The sequence below is a fragment of the Homo sapiens genome, chromosome 11 (genome assembly GCF_000001405.40).
Source record: "Homo sapiens chromosome 11, GRCh38.p14 Primary Assembly".
In the NCBI taxonomy this organism is placed as follows: Eukaryota; Metazoa; Chordata; class Mammalia; order Primates; family Hominidae; genus Homo; species Homo sapiens.
Genome location: NC_000011.10, coordinates 96,001,274 through 96,019,419, shown reverse-complemented (window position 1 = coordinate 96,019,419; position 18,146 = coordinate 96,001,274). Strand labels below are relative to the sequence as shown.

The window sequence follows — 18,146 nt, the reverse complement described above, 5'->3', positions numbered from 1 at the left end:
AGCTTCCTGTTGCAAGGTATTAAAGACCAAACCCTACAGAGATTATATTCAAAATGATTGTTATGATCAGGATGATAGCCAAAGACTATCACTGGCACTATTATAACTTCACTAGCCACACTTATTAGCAATATTACTTGCTATATAACTAACTATATATAATCAGAACTTATATACTAAATTGTATATATTATAAAGCAGAAAAAATAAGGGGAAGAATTTACATTAAGGCATTTGCCATTTTTTATTTAAACTATTCTCATAGGCATAAAACCTAAAACTCACCTTAAGAAACAAACAAAATAAACAAAAAACCTCCACATTTTCTTCTGCTACCTCTCTATTTTTCTGCTTTACAGCCATACTCCTTGAAAAAAATTATCCCCAATCCTAACTCCCTACTTCTCTTCTCATTTTGTCTCAAACTCATTTCAATCACGTTTTTGTCTCTAGATTTCCAGTGAAACTGCTCTTGTCAAAACTATTAGTGATATCTACATTGCCAATTCCAGTGGTCAATTCTTAACTCTCAGCCAGGCGCCGTGGCTCACACCAGTAATCCCAGCACTTTGGGAGGTGGAGGCAGGCATATCACTTGAGGTCAGGAGTTCAAGACCAGGCTGGCCAACATGGTGAAACCCCATCTCTACTAAAAATTAGCCAGTCATGGTGGCAGGTCCCTGTAGTCTCAGCCACTTGGGAGGCTGAGGCAAGAGAGTTGCTTGAACCTGGGAGGCAGAGGTTGCAGTGAGCCAAGATGGTGCCACTGCACTCCAGCCTGGGCGACGGAGCTTGACTTATCAGGAACATCGAATCCATTAATCACTTCCTTTCCTTGACATACTTTCTTCTCTTAGCTTTCAGGACACAACTCATTCATGGTTTGCACTCTCCTTTGCTAGTTTCTTCTTCATATACCAGACTTCCAAACGATGGGGTGTCCAGAGGACAGTTACTGTACTCCTTTTCATCATCTATACTCACTCCCTAGGTGATAGCATCCAAATTCATGACTTTCAGTATCTTTTCTATGCTGACAACTCCTAAATTTCTATTTCTAGTCTATATTTCTCTCCTGAACTCCAGACTCATATATCAAGTTGCCTTCCTGACATCTCCACTTGGATGTGTAATAAGCATCTCAAACTTGACATATCCCAGGTTAAATTCCCTATTTCCAACTCCTCCAACTCCCTCCCCACAGAAAGCAAAACTGTTTCACAGTCTTTCCCATCTCAGAAAATGATAACTCTATACTTCCCTATACTCAGGCCAAAATCTCATAGTTGCTTATTAGTGGCTCTACCGTCAGAGACTATGTGGAATCCAGCCACTTCCCACTGCTACCACTCTGGCCCAAGCCCCTGCCATCTCACCTCTGAATTATTCCTGTAGCCTTCCTTACTCATCTTCTTTCTCCGTACAAACTATTCACCACATAGCTGACAGAGTGATCTTTAAAACATATATCATGTCATTCCTCTGCTCAGTATCCTCTAATGGCTTTCCTTATTATTCAAGTAAAAGCTAAAGTTCTGACAGTTGCCTACGAAGCCCCACAGGACCATGTCTCCCCTGCTTCTCCACCCCTGCACCCCACCGCCAATCTTGCCTCTTGCACAGCAGCACAGTGGCCTGCTTGCTAGGCTTCAGGCGGATGAAACATGCTCCCACCTCAAGAACTCAGGACTTGAAATCCCTCCACTGTGCACAAGGCTCTCCCCTCACTTCTTCCAGGTCCAATGTCATCTTATCCTAGAAGTCTTCTCTGCTCACCCTACCCACTCCTACCTGTACCAGCAACACACCCCGCCTCCAGCCCTGTTTTCTTTTTCTTTATAGTATTTATCATCATATATTATTTGTTAAAATGTCTATTATCTGTCTTCCTACACTAAAATGTTGGTTTCATGAGGGCCAGAGCTCTGATTTATTTACCACTATAACCCCAGTTATTATTGTAGGCACAGTAGGAATGCAAATGTATTTGTTTTATGGAAGGAAGGAAGGGAGGGAGGGAGGGAGGGAAGGGAGAAAAGAGGTGGGGAGGGAGGGAGAGAGGGAGGGAGGGGTAATCTCTCAGTGTGCTTTGGTTTTTAAGACTTCAGTTACCTGCACTTTTTCAGAAATCAAGGTATGCATAACCAAAGCACATCTGCTTTTCCAAACTGGATTTAGATTCGCCATTTACTAACTAACAAATGTTGTGCAATTTAGCTAACTTGTCTAAGCCTCATTTTCCTCATCTATGAAATGGGAGGAATAGTAAGATCTACCTACCTCAAAAGAATGTTGTAAAGATTAAACAAGGTAATCAAATTGTTTAGTAATATGCCTTCCACATATCAAGCCCTCAATACATGTTGAGTATTATTATTATTACTGATTATTCCTCACATAGTTAATTGCCTTTAAAATTACTACACTTCAGTATTATTCTCAGAAATTTTACATTTTATATAGTTTCCATATATCAAAAGAAAGGGTTACTAGCAACATTTGGCTGATTCTTTATCTCCCTTTTTTGAGCCATTTAAACAAATCTTTTCTATAGAGTTTCTGGATCTGTTCCTCCTAAATTCAAAAAAGTCTCAGATTAGAACACAATCCGAAAGCACTCTAAATTGAAAGTTTAGTCTTTAGGATACTAACAATAGTTATTATATGGACCCTTTTTTAATGTCCCTAAAGTCCATAATTCCACACAAACTACGATGAGAAGGGCAATCTGCATATTTGTGTTTATATGAACATAGGAGCCCTTCTTCTTCTTCCCAAAAGCTTTTGTAAAATGTCATCATAGTTAGCTTTTATCCCCACAAAAAGTGTTCCTCCTAGAATCTGAATATCTCTGCTAGACAGTATGGTATGTGCTCCCTTCAAACTTAGGAGAGGTGGGGACTCTAAAACATCAACAGAAGTAAGGTGTGAGAGGCATGGTGGAGGGACAGGGGTCTGGCAAGGGTGTTGAATCTGATGCAAGTGGTAATCTGGTAATCTGATCACCACCAGAGAGCTTCCTGTGGCTGCTAGGAGCAGGATGGGCAGAATGACTCTTTGATCTCCAGCTTTCATCTTCTAGTCTTTCTCTCCCCTCCCCTTCACTTTTTTGCTCTCTGCTCCCTCCTAATGTGCACTGCCCACCCACCCTCCCCCCATGTACACGTAGGCAGTGTCTGTTCTCATGATCAGTCAGAAAGCAGTTCCAGATTCATGGTGTAAATTGGAGGACAGTTCACTGAACCAAACAGTCTATCTACATGAGATACAGAGACCCAATCGGATTTCTTGATATAAGTGGATCATTTATTTAAATAAATAAGTTTAAATAAAGTTTAAATAAAGATTAAGTTTTGAACAAAAGGACTTTAGAAGCGACCTGATGATGCCCCAAATACGTCTTTTATGTACATTCCCTAGGGCCAGCCATGCATGTATTATCTCTAATACATACCTCTCCTGAAATTTCATTCTTTCCTTTATACTGTACTGACCTGAGAAGTTAAATAATAATAATAATAGTCACCACATTAACTGAGCCTTGTCAGTATGAAGCACCTCATATGCATTCTCTCCTTTAATCCCTACATTCATGATTCAATATCATTAATGAGAACATTAGATACCTTAAGACTGGACTAACTTGTTCAGAATTTAAACCCAGGTCTGTCTAAGTACAAAGTTCATATTCTTAGTATCTAATGCCATAAAGCCTGCAGACAATTCACTTATTTTTCAGGTCACTTTGGTCTTCCCCATGGCATAAAGGATCTTCTACACATTTTGGTACACATGGGTCATCACTAATATGTCTTCATGAATTGCCCCCCCCCCCTTTTTTTTTTTTTTTGCCTTCTTAGCACTTTCATTTTATGGTTAGCTCTTCCACATCTATTGAATTGGCCCAATAGAAAACATGTCAGAAGCTTCATTCTTTTATATTTCACAGTAAACCATAATGGTCAACCAGCTGGAGTACAGTGTTTACAAAATACTTTTTACACATATTATCTCAATTAAAACTCACTGCTACCCTGGGAATTGGGCACCTTACTACTTTTATAGATGAGGAAACTGGGGTTTGGAAAAATGAAGCTACTTATTCAACGTCATATTACTCCTATATCAAATGCAGATCCTATATAACTGAACTGTACTGTTATGTAGTAGCTTAAATTGCTTCATGTTTCCATATGAAGTGCCAATAGTATAGATTTACCACCACTTTAGATCAAGGGCTCTGGCTGCCTTAGTTTTGTATTATTTCTTTTCGGATATTATGGCAGGGCTCTGGAGTCAGGCTGCCTGAGATAGACTTTTGGCTCAATCACTGACTAACTAGATGAAGTATTTAGCTTCTCCAAATGTCAGTTCTCTCATCTATAAAATGGAGATACTAATAGGGTGGCTAGTACATAGATGGTTATTATAGTTATGAAATGTGATCGTGTATAAAGTGCCCAGTGTAGTGACTGATATGGAGAAAGTGTCCAACACATGATAGCTATTATAGTTATTGATGAATTAATGACTCAAACATGCATTGGAATTTCTTTGAGATTTGCATACCCCATGATTTGGAAATTGCTTCAATGTTCCATGCCATCTACACATAGTTTTAAGTCCTTTAACTTGTAATTGATTTAAGTCTTTGTTCTAAGACTTTGACATAAGCCCCCAAATGTTACAAGTGGAGCTTCAAATTAGAGAAAGAGGATAAGCAGACCAGTTCAAGTCAAATATTGTTTTAAAAGTATGTTTGTGTGAGGTGAAGTTGACGTACCCTAACTGCAGAGATAACACAGAACCAGTTAGAGTTTTTTACTACAAGTTGAATTGAGTCAAAATAATCAATTGGTTGGTTTGTAAGAATGTAGTTTGAGACCACCTGAAAACCTGAAAGCTTTCTCTCTACAATTCATCACTGTTTTCCTTCTCAGTTCAGAGTTCACCGATGTTAGTTTTAAATGTTGATTCCAGGAGGCTGTGGTTAAGTTCATTTTCTGAATGTGGTTTCCTCTCAGGCTGCTTTGATATTAATGTGAGTCAACAACCACTGTGTCATCCCTGTCGCAAGGATCCCTGTGGAGAGCCTAGTTACCAATAATAAGGTAGTCTTTTTGTTCGTAGAGTGGCATTGTCATTTCCCATTCCTCAGTGAATATACTCAGTTTAAAGAAACTGCAGCTGTATACTAAAATGCTGAGTATACTGGGAGAATTGCATATTTTATACTTTTGAGACAAGAAAGATTCCCTTGTCCCCCTCGCAGGGTGTGAGATGGGGAAGTGGCTCGCTTCATCAGTGCCCCGCTGATCAAACCTCTAAGGGAGCATACATACAGGCAGGCTGTGGGGCTGCGACCCCACGGCCATGTCTAGGGGTGAATGTTTACGGCTCCTGAAGCCCCAGTGGGCATGTGTTACAGCGTGCTCTCTTAGTTTGCTGTCTATAGGTGGCTTGTGTTAACCAGCTCAATTAGATCCCCTTCCTTATCACAAGGACAGAGGGCTTTCTGTATCCTGGGTTCCTGCCTTGGTGTACAGGAAGAATCAGATCACACGTGGGCTTGAAGAAAGAATGCAAAGTTTTATTTAGTGGAAGTAGCTCTCAGCAGATGGAGGAACCAGAAGGAAGATGCTCTTTCCCTGGAGGTGGGCTGCTCGGTGGCCCTGGCTCTCCTCCAACAGCCCCACCTCGTCCCGCCAGTGTCCTGCTGACGGCCTGCAGGCGCCAGTGCTTGTGCGTGTGCTCCTCTGCCAGTGTGCTCCTCTCGACGTCTGGCTGCCTTTGTGTCTACTGCTAGGGTCTGGGGTTTTTATAGGCCCAGGATGGGGTTGTGGCAGGCCCAGGTGGTCTTGGGAAATGCAACATTTGGGCAGGAAGTGCCTGTCCTCACCTAGGTCGTTGGAGTGGAGCCCTTGCCAGGGACCTGCCTTTCTCTACCCAGTACTTTGCTTCCCCCATTCCATGTCATTTAAAGGGACCACACTCTTCCCTTCCTAGCAGTCCTGTATCACTTTGTGGTTGGATTTTATACTTTAGCTTTTATATTGTAGATGGACTAGTTATAATCTACTACATGAGCTACTGGAGACCTCACATTACTTAATTCTGATTACTTTGAAGAGAGAAGTGAATAGATACAAAGAATGCTTAGGGTTATCTCATTTTGTTGTTCTTAAATGTGACATTTGTTATTGGAAAAACAATATGTTTGTTGATACATAACCTACTTCCCTTGATCATTTTAAAAATTTCAATTAACCCTTGCCCCTCACCTCTCAGAAATCTGTATCTCATAACTCTCTCTTTTCACCTGAGCTCCTAGCAGTTTACAGGCAACATGGTCATCAGTGAAATGTACATGTTGAAAGAGAGAAAATAAAAACCCTCCAAGTTAGTCTGTTAAGGTGAATACATATGCTATTGCATGACCAACTAAGATAGATAATGCCCAGACAGGTCATAAAAAAGACACAGGAAAAGGGAACATTGAATAAAATGGTGGCAGCATTAGTTGACTTTATAATTCTGTTGCCTTGTGAAACAGAATTATTTGAAAGAGGTTTCTGAAAATGTTTTTGTTGCTTGTCAAAGCATGGTGCTTTGACAACACAGAAGCTATTTTTATGTAGAAACAGTAGTGAAGGTATCTTCTGTTCACTGCACAACTAAATTATAGCAACTTATCATTGTGTTGCTTAAGGAAACAAACAGATTTCAAAGGTTTATTCTAGAAAACAGTGTTTAATCAATTTCTTATACTGTCTTTGAACATAATCTAGTAAGCAGATGTGGAGTTAACGGCTTATTATGTTCATACTCCCTATATCCATTCAGAGTCTGCCAGGCTCAGAATAAAAGTCAAGACATGTGCACATAGAGACTCTGTAGATGTTTGTAGCATTTGAAATTAAAATAGTGAGAAGGCTGCCTGGGCGTCCCTTCAGACATGGCACAGTGGAGCACAGAGACAGGAAATATGCCAGACTGCCTCTGTAGGAGGCTGCTGTGAACACGTGCAGCAAGGAACAGGGAACCGCTTAATGATTAATCACTGTCAACCTTTGTTCTCGTTAAAGACTTGATTGTTGGACAAGGCTTGTAATGAGGGACTGTTTTGGTGTCTGTTGCTATGAGATTGTGTTCACTGATCCTCAGTTGATGTAAGCCGCTGTTCTCTTTTTGCCCAAGTCGAATGAACTTGAATGAAAATGCTCTCACAGTGCCTGCTAGTGGTGCTTTCAGAGGAGGTTCTGGGCATTCTGTTTACCAAATGCTACTGCAGCTCAAAAACGGAGAACAGGTAACTAAGAGTTTGGCTCAGCTGAATTTTGGCATATGAGATTTATGAAATTTTAGCAAATGTTTTAAAAGTTTGATTCTAAAAGACGTAAATAAAAGTAGATTTTATGGTAGTAATGGAATAAAAACCCTTCAACACACCCACACACCTTTTCTTTTTAACAAGCACAGATATTCAAGAATCAAAATTTTAAATTGTTACCATTTCTCTTGACTTCTATAAATAAAATATTAAATTGTGTTTTGCAAACCAAATTCTTAAACCACCAACTCATGTGAGAGGTGGGAATATGTCTTGGCATTTTCCTAAAGGCTAAGAAAAAAAATTCCATTTATTCTGTCATTGATTACAGCTTGCAGACTTTTATATAACCATTTTTTTGTTTGCTTGTTTTTAGATTCAAGGGGTACATGTGCAGATTTGCTCCATGGTTATATTGCATGATGATGAGGTTTGGGCTTCTATTGATCCCGTCACCCAAATAGTGAACATAGTACCCAATGGGTACTTTGTCTGCCCCAGCCTCTCTCCCACCCTCCCCCTTTTGGAGTCCCCAGTGTCTGTTGTTCCCAGCTTTATGTCCATGTGTACTCAATGTTTAGCTCTCACTTATAAGTGAGAACATATGGTATTTGGTTTTTCTTTCTGTGTTCATTCACTTACAAGAATGGCCTCCAGCTGCATCCATGTTGCTACAAAAGGACGTGATTTAATTCTTTTTTATGGCTATGTAGTATTTCATGGTGTATATGTACCATATTTTCTTACTAATTCAACATTGGTAGATACCTTGGTTGGTTCCATGTCTTTGCTTTTGTAAACAGTGTTGCAATGAACATATAAGTGCAGGTGGCTTTTTGGTAGAATGACTTATTTTCCTTTAAGGTAGATACTCAGTAATAGAATTGCTGGGTCAAATGGTAGTTCTATTTTTAGTTCCTTGAGAAATCTCCAAACTGCTTTCCACAGTGGCTGAACTACAATTCCCACCAGCAGTGCATAAGCATTCCCTTTTCTCTGCAACCTCATCAACATGTATTATATTTTGACTTTTTAATAAGAGCCATTCTGACTGATGAGAAATAGTAAGCATAACCATTTTTGAATATTTTACTGCAATAAAATATCAATGGAACATTTTAAAGGAGGAAAAAAACAGTATTTTTAAACTTTAAAGAATATTTTTCTGGATTAAAGTGACCTTATAAAACTCTGAATTTCTTCTAAACATAATTGCATCATCATGAAATTACTTTTAAAATATATACTTATATGAAAGTACTAATATAGAACAACTAAAACTGTTAGTGATATTCTCAGATTATGCTTACTATCCCCAGGCAAAAATATTTCTCTGTCTCTCTTTCTCTCTCTTTCTAACAAATGCAATCTGCTATAGTTTTTTGATGTGTCTGCATGAAGCAACTTTTCTTGTGTTTTACATCTGTATATAACTTTTTGGTTCAAAATACTATGTGTCTCTATTGTTCTCTCTTTTTTCATTCGCCACTATTCTTAACTCATCTACATTGTAATCAGGGAAGTTGAGTAGGGACTGTTTGTACCTCAAGAAATCTAAAATGTAGCCTCTGTCAGCATCCTATGCCCCTACCTGGTCTACAGGTAACTATGAATGTTCCACTTGATCCCAGAAGTGATTCTGTCTAACCCAAGGACCTGTCTCTTGTTAAGTGTCCCCTACATATAAAAGTAGGAAGGGACTGGGGAATGGCCAATCTGCCCCTGTATCTTCTAGTAGATTTGCTCTAAATCTTCCCACACAGGAAAATCAGTTTTTTATATAAATCTCTAAATAGTAATCCAGTTTTCTTAGAAATAGTCACAGTGTATAACTTGTAAACACTTTAATTTTCAAAGTCTTGCTTCTATGTTTAAATATGTATCCATATATAATTAGGATATAGAATGTAAATTTTCTCTGAACACAGTATCTATCTGTTGAAGTTATGATGGAGTAATATAATTAAGATAGAAAGCAGAAGGTTTATAATGATAATGATAACTATAATTGGTTTGGTCTTTTAAGACATATTACAGTTTGCAGTAAGTAGATCATTCCCGAAGCTCCAAATTGTTCCTGATTCAGTTCATAGAACTGCAACCCTCTAAGGAACATCTTTTCATAACCCACGCCTTATAAATCCTGTTAGGCCTGATTGGTTTTTTATCCTTGACCATAGATACTTATATTAAGGAATACATGACCTTTTTGTAAAATTGGTTCTTGAACAGATGTCCTTGGGCAATATTTCTAGTAGCTGACCTAAAATCCTAGGGCTAGGGGGAAAACGTATCAAAATAAATCACTCTCTACACAACATTGTGAATTATTATTTGCATTTAAATAGAAACAGTACAGCCCTCCTTCACTGTAACAAATGTTTACAGGTAAATAACTGTGCTTTTCCTGGCTTCCCTAAGAAGTGAAGATATATGTCAATGCTTACGTTGTTTTCTTCTACCTTCTGAAGAGCAGTGCAGTAGAGTAGTAAGTACACAGTTGGTTCTACTAATGTTAGATTTGACTGGAAGTTATTCACCACATACCAATAGTCTCTCCTTGATTTCTTTGTAAATAACAAATATAGTTAAATTACTGAAATAAACTAAATTATTCAGATCTTTAGTGCTTTCCCTATATATAAAAAAGAAACCATTCCACTTTATCTTATGACCAGGACCCAGTTAAATTCAAAGATTAGCACCTTCCTGGTATAGAAAGCAATAGTAGGGTGTTTGAATGAATGGCATATTATCTGGGGAAAAGCCATGAACCCAGCTGTCAGATCAAGGTAAAGAAAATACGTGAGAAAATATTTAGATTTAATGAAGATGTAAAGGAAAAGTTGCAGCGCTGAGGTGCAGAAGGACTGCTATACATGCGAATGGCCATCGTTAGCATTAAGTGATTAAAGGAACTGAATTGTTCTTCCTTCCATATGACCTATATGGCTAGTCAATTGCACATTAATATTACATCTAACAATATTATTTTGCCTCCAAAGAACTCAAAATACTTTCATTTAGTTAACTCTCAAAATATTTATTAACATAACACCTTCCCCAAATGAAGTACTATTGCTTACCCAATACCTTGAAAAAAGCAACTTTTAAAAATGATGCTAGAATTTCAGCGGTGTCAATACAGCTGTGTCTTCAGGAAGAAAACTGAAGTGAATACCTGGCAAGGGTTAGATAAATATGATGAACTTCAACCAAAAATCTATCAAGGAAATCATGTCCTGGGATGAGATAATCAAGCTGTTCATTTTATACCAAAACAGCTAGTTGACTCCGTTAGTTTAGTTAAATAATTTTTAGGCCAATTATTTGGCAACATGTACATGAAGCAAATAGTTGACTGATTTTAAATTTCCATGATACTCAGTGGTGTGGCATTTCTCATGCTTGGCCCAAGTTCTGTTAACTTTATGGAGAAGAGGGCTGTTTTTAAAACTTGTTTTTGTTTTTCTTCTGAGGATGGCTAGATAACAATATTTTCAAATTCTAAAGAGGATCTAATTGGCTCAAATTTAGTCACAGTTTTGATTTAAATATTTAGAAATGTTCAGATATGTACTCAGTGAACTGTTATTTGGATCCAGCCAGCAGCTGAAAAGTTGTTCCAGTCCCAAATGTATATCATTTTAAAAAAGCACCACATGAATCTGGAAAGTACAAAACAATGTAAACATTGGTAACTGCACGATATATCAGTCTCCCTTCCTGCATTCTCTCCTGATCAGCAGTGAGGAACATAAGCCACAAATGTTTACCAAATTGAAAAATCACTGGACAGTTATGTTCAAATCAAGGATCTGTTTTCAGTTACAAGTAACTAGAATCCGATACAACCAACCTACCCAAATTGCTGAGGAAAAAAAAGGTTAAAAGTTCACGTAAATCTGTGTGTGTTGAATTTACATTCAAGGTTTTAATCACAAATGAAAAGGTTTATATATTATATTGAACTGACATTAATAAGTACTCCCAGGTAAAACATGTTGTTATATGATATGTAATATTGATATTCGTCATTTCACTGAAAAATTTTTTTTTTTTTTTTATACTTTAAGTTTTAGGGTACATGTGCACATTGTGCAGGTTAGTTACATATGTATACATGTGCCATGCTGGTGCGCTGCACCCACTAACTCGTCATCTAGCATTAGGTATATCTCCCAGTGCTACCCCTCCCCCCTCCCCCCACCCCACCACAGTCCCCAGAGTGTGATATTCCCCTTCCTGTGACCATGTGATCTCATTGTTCAATTCCCACCTATGAGTGAGAATATGCGGTGTTTGGTTTTTTGTTCTTGCGATAGTTTACTGAGAATGTTACTTTCTTAATAATATCTAAGTAATTATAAATCATGTTATAAATGAAGTTTATCTGATTTTCAAGTAATTATTTAGTTGTTTACTTAACAACAAATATATACTTAATATCTACTTTCTATCAGGCTTATATATGCTAATAGGAGTGCATAATTGAATAAAACAGTTCATATTCTTAAAATAACCACTATGTAGTAAAAGAAAACATACATGTAAATAAACAATTGATATATTCGTTAGCAGATAATGCAAGATATAGTCATATTTTGTCTCGCAGGATCCAAGTGATACCAGTTACCTATGTTGGAAAGGTGCCAAGATAGACCTGCCTTATTCTGAATTTTCTATTTTGATGAATTAATGTAAAGAGTCATTCTGTGAACCCAAAGATATACTAGAAATCTTTATAGAAGAAAAACGCCTTTAAAAATGATTGATATCAGCTGGGCATGGTGGCTCACGCCTGTAATCCCAGCACTTTGGGAGACAGAGGTGGGTGGATCACGAGGTCGGGAGATCAAGACCATCCTGGCCAACATGGTGAAACCTCATCTCTACTAAAATACAAAAAAAAAAAAAAAATTAACTGGACATGGTGGTACGCTCCTGTATTCCCAGCTACTCTGGAGGCTGAGGCAGGGGAATCACTTGAACTCAAGAGGGGGAGGTTGCAGTGGGCCGAGATCATGCCACTGCACTCCAGCCTGGTGACAGAGTGAGACTCTGTCTAAAAAAATAATAAAAAAAAAGATTGATATCTAGAAATAATTTAGGCTTACTAGTCTACCTAGTCTTTGTAATTCCAAACAAAAAGAAACAAAACATTAAAATACTCGTGTGTGTGTGTGTGTGTGTGTGTGTGTGTGTGTGTGTGTGTGTATAAGATATTCCTGGCCAGGCGTGGTGGCTCACGCCTGTAATCTCAGCGCTTTGGGAGGCCGAGGCAGGCGGATCACCTGAGGTCAGGACTTTGAAACCAGCCTGCCCAACATGGTGAAACCCCATCTCTACTAAACATACAAAAAATTAGCCAGGTATGGTGGCACGTGCCTGTAATCCCAGCTACTCGGGAGGCTGAGGCAGGAGAATCACTTGAACCTGGGAGGCAGAGCTTGCAGTGGACCGAGATCATGCCACTGCACTCCAGCCTGGGCAACAAGAGCGAAACTCCATCTTAAAAAAAAAAAAGAAAAAAAAAAGATACTCCAATCTTATTTCCCAATAGAATTAATAAAAAATTTAGGTACTGTTTTCTATGTTCATAGTCACAGAGTAGCATCAGATCTGGCAGTAGTTGTACCGCTTATTTGATCAATGTAGACAGACAAAATAATCAGACCAAAAAAAAGTTGACTTTCCTCAGTCTTCTCCACAGTAGACTTTTCATTTAAGGTTATCATTTTTCTAAAACATCATTTTGGTACCCTGCAGATCAAAATGTGTTTATATAGTTTGCATAAATAAGATTTGGTAAATAACTTGATTTTCTGGGATTTGATCCAAGTGAAACCTCTAATCTTTTGAAGTTCATCCCTTAGTGATTCTTAGGGAGAACTCAGCTTTTTTGAAGTCTCACTGAAGTATTTAGTGGCTTGCTTTGCTAATCCAAGAGAGACTTCATAGCTACATTTAACAGAGAACAGATGGCTCCTTTTCTAATGTCCTTTCTGTCCATTATAATAGTACATTCAAAAAAGCAATCATGTCACATTAGACTACACAAACACATTGGAAGATATTGACCACAGTCACTATATTTGTGCACCTAGATTCCCATGTCTAATAGACAACCTGTAATAACCGAGACATTCTCTCATTTCTCATGAGAAAAAGTATGTCAAAATTTGTAGGTTACTTTACAGATTAATACATTTTGTATATTTTAGTACAGAATGGAGAGATTCAAAGCATAAAAATTATCTGTGGCAAAATATTTTGTATTCTTTTTATAGTATTAGGGAAAAATATGAATCTTTTGTTAGAATTAGTTGAGAAAAGTCAGAACTTATTACCAAAGCTGTATAGTTCTACCTTATGCCTTGAAAATCCAGTCCAGAATTCAGCCTAATACATTTATTCAACATTTCCATTCCCAAGCTTCAGTGTATTTACTTCAATGTCATCAGAAGACAACCACCTTGATCCCCTACTCTCCACCCTCAACTGGATCAATCTATTATTTGTTCATTATAGAGGCAAAATCTTTGCATCTCTTGTTGATAGTTTGTATTTTTGACTCAATGAGAAAAAAAATCAAATTATTTCATCACAGTGGTATTTATTGTTCCTTTGATTAAATAAAAATGGAATTTCAACTATTCTAGCACTAGAGTGGAATTGAGAAATTATAGTCTAATTTCCATATCTTAAAGTTGGAGAAAGTAAGGCCTAGAGAAGTCATAAGGGAAGACTGAAAATTTAAAAGATTTACAGTTCACATAAACAGATTTCTAGAAGAATCAATTAAATGTCAGTATACGTGATAAGAAGTAAAAATTGTCAGAGCAGATAATAGTTAAAATAAATGCTAATGTTTCTTGGAAACTGTCTTGTTCATTTGTGCTGTTATAACAAAATACCACAGAATGGGTAATTTATAAAGAACAGAAATGTATTTCTCACTGTTACGGAGGCTGTGAAGTCCAAGATCAATGCACTGGCATTTGTGTCTGGTGAGGGCCTGTTCCACTGATTAGGTGCCTTCTCATCATGGCATTCTTCCATGGTGGTAGGTAGAAGAGCAAAAAGGGACTGAACTCACTTTCTCAATCCCTTTTATAAGGGCACCTAATCCCTGTCAGGAGGCAGAGCCCTCATGACTTGATCACCTCCCATAAGGGCTCACCTCTTGTGCCACTACCCTGAGGATTAAGTTTCAACAGGAATTTTGGAGGAGACGCCATTATTAAAACCATAGCAAACACCTCATAGGGGCCAGAGACTGTGTCACATATTTTATTTACATGATCTTATTCAAGCCATACAGCAATTCCATGAGGAAGGCACTATTATTTTTTCCATAATAGACAAGAAGTCAAAATATACAAAATTGTATAATTTGCCCAAGAAAAACAACTAGTAAATTATGAAGCAAATATTTACACACAGACATTCTAACTACAAAAGCTCCATTTTTTTTCATCATTACAATATATTCTCATGGGATATCACATGAGACATGTGAGAATTTTCTTGGATTTCTCACTTTGCTATCTTGAAGAGTATAACAAGCAGCCAAAAGTAGTCTATACAATTGTCATTAAGGTGAAATTCCAGAGTCAAAATTACATACTGGGTTTTTTTTATTCCCAAAGGAGAGATCATATATGTTTTATAGAGTATAAGAAGCCATCTTTGGAAATCAATTTTTTTATTCCGGATTTGTTTCATGTATAATTTGGCCATCATTTTGATTTAAGAACTAACCCTTTAAAAGTGATTTTCTTTCTTTGGAACTGTGGTATCATTTACCCCTCTTTAGACTCCATCACTACTCATTTACTGAATTGCCTTCATTTTTAATGAGAATAGAAAATGTTGATAACTTGTCCTACCCAAAACCATAATACTTTCCAAATATTTCTAGAGGAATGGAAAATTCATGGTATAAAACTAGTTTCTAATGTATATCCTTTTGCTTTTGTGAAGAGAAAGTATAGGCTTGATATACAGCCTACCAAAGAGAAAAGAAAAGGGGATTGACAGTTTATTCAACTCATATAATAAACTCAACAAAAGATAAAATTACTCTTAAACACAATTTCCTAATCTTGTTTTAGTTGGTAGAGGCAGTGGTGGTAATGCTCAGCTATTACTAAGTTTAAGTGAGAACATTTCTGGATAATTATTGTTTGTTGATTTATTACTAGTATTACTATAAATACTATGCTACCATCACTATCTGATGATCAGAAATTGTATATTATTTAATCTAATGCCTTGTGTTATATGTATGATATTCAGAAAATTTATATGATATTCAATTAATATCAAATTGACTTAAGTATAGATATTAATATTTGTTTTGAATCTGTTGTATACCAGATACTTCACTTACTTTATGCTATTTGTTCTTAATCATCATTGGAGGTAAAATTTATTAAATATTACCCCTATACAACTTAGAAAAAACCAAAGTTGGAATTTGAACCCAGGTCTGCCTGATCCCAGAACCCACCTTTCACTAGTGCTGTCTACTCACTGAAATCCCTTTTTGAACAGAGGGATTTTAAAATGTATATATATTTGCTTATTATCTTGTTTACTAAGCTCAATCGCCTTTAAAGTACTTTTGATTTTAAAGGCATACATGTGGGGAAAAAAGACAAGTTCTGTAACTTGAATCTCCTTATCTTTAAAATGTGAATAATAATTAAAACAGAATTATTATGGGGACTCATTAAGATAAAAAATGCAGGCCCTCAACACATGGCTTGGCATTTATCTTTCAAAAAATGAGAAGTATTAATACTAGTAGAACTCTTATTCCATCAGTGTGCCTTCTCCCTGCCTTCCAACACATGCACATCATCTTCCTCATCATCCCCATCATCCTTATCATCATCCCCATCATCCTTATCATCATCCCCATCATCCTCCTCATCCCCATCATCCTCCTCATCCCCATAATCATCTTCATCATCCCCATCATCCTCATCATCCCCATCATCCTCCTCATCATCCCCATCATCATGTTCATCATCCCCATCATCCTCCTCATCCCCATCATCATCTTCATCATCCCCATCATCATCCTCATCATCACCATCATCATCCTCACCATCTTCATCATCGCCATCATCCTTCTTATCATCCCCATCATCTTCCTTATCCCCATCATCTTTCTCATCATCCCCATCATCCTCCTCATCATCCCCATCATCATTTCATCATCCCCATCATCCTCCTCATCATCCCCATCATCCTCCTCATCATCCCCATCATCATCTTCATCATCCCCATCATCCTCATCATCCTCATCATCCTCATCATCCTCCTCATCATCCCGATCATCTTTCTTATCATCCCCCATCGTCCTCCTTATCATCCCCATCATGCTCCCCACCATCCCCATCATTATTCTTCATCATCCCCATCATCATCCTCATCATCCCCATCATCATCATCATCTCCATCCTCCTCATCCCCATCATCCTCATCATCCCTGTCATCATCTTCATCATCCCCATCATCTTCATCATCCCCATCATCATCTTCATCAGCCCCATCATCATCGTCATTGTCATCATGATCTCCATCATCATTCACCACTAACTTTTCTTTCCTAAGACATTCTATTTGCCAAAGGTCCTTCTAAGGTGGCACACCCATAAAAACAACATTGGCTTCAAAAATGTTGCTCAACCTTTGCCTTTCTCCCCCACTTTGGTTTTCCAGTTGCCTTTGGAAAGAGCCAACATTTTCACACCATGTGCCTCACAGCAGGAAGTTCTGTCCTCATTTTTTCCTTCACATTGCTTCTTCAATCATTCATATATTTTTAATTCAGAAAACATCTATGGAGAGTCTGCTATACCCTGGGAATTTCACAATGAACATGTCCCAGCCTTCAAAGCACTTAAAATGGGAAAGAGGTATAAGCAAATGAGCAATTGTGATATAGAGTGACAAAGGCTGCCTAATGGGCCAGTACTGGGTCTCACAAAAGCACAGGAGAGGGCCACCTAACTCAGTTCTAAGTGGTCAGAGAAGGCTTCCTGAAAAAAAATTACATCTGAGTTGAGCCCAGAAAAAAAGGATGTTCACCTGGTAGGAAAAGGCAGAGAAAGAGTGTTCCAGGCAGAGAGGATATGACCATTTACAAAAATTTGGAGAAGAGAAAGAGCTCTGTGGGTTTGGAGAACTGCATGTAGTTTAGTATCACCATTGTATAGGGTGAGGAAAGGATGTGTTGAGAGATAATACTGGAGAAAGATGCAGAGCCCAGATCATGGAAGGCCTTTTATACCATTCTTGGGAGTTAGGACGTGATCCCAAAGTTAGTGAAGAGCTATGTATGATTTTAAGCTGGGAGTACAGTGTAGAGGCTGTATCCAAGGGAAAAATCATTTTATTACTTTCATAAATACCAACGTTTGCGGTGGGGAGTGAGGGGGGGTTGAGTTCTCAACCTGAGCTCTATGGATAATCTGTGGATGTTTAGAGAGTTTGTAAACTCCCTGAAATTGTAGACAAAATTATTAGTTGTATATGTGTTTGGGGGATGGGAGGAGATGCAGAATCCATAGCTATGTGAAATCCTCAAAAGGAACTATGATCCAAATCAATGTTTGAAACCACTGCTCTAGAGGCAGAAAGCTAAAAGCCAACTTATAGAGCAGAAATTTGAAATCTGCCACAAAGAATCCTTCTAAAGTTGCAGAATTTCTCTTTTAAGAAAAATTTCTCATTCCTTCCCCTGAGTTACCAAACTCTTCCCACTCCACCCTGACCCACTGACGTTTTGTTCCTGGCCACT

The 18,146-nt window shown here is 37.8% G+C and overlaps 1 protein-coding gene across 3 annotated transcripts in view, besides 1 other annotated feature; it reads left to right on the top strand.

Annotated features, from left to right (window-relative positions):
• The window catches only part of MAML2 (mastermind like transcriptional coactivator 2), a 366,598-nt gene that overhangs the window by 323,776 nt on the left and 24,676 nt on the right, over positions 1 to 18,146 (top strand). The window lies entirely within an intron of this gene.
• Positions 6,780 to 7,383: an enhancer, noted in NCBI's record as "NANOG hESC enhancer chr11:95745200-95745803 (GRCh37/hg19 assembly coordinates)". NCBI's record gives its function as "activates a minimal SCP1, AML or CMV promoter by ChIP-STARR-seq in naive H9 embryonic stem cells {active_cell/tissue: H9 hESC(naive)}" and the evidence as "EXISTENCE:reporter gene assay evidence [ECO:0000049][PMID:30033119]".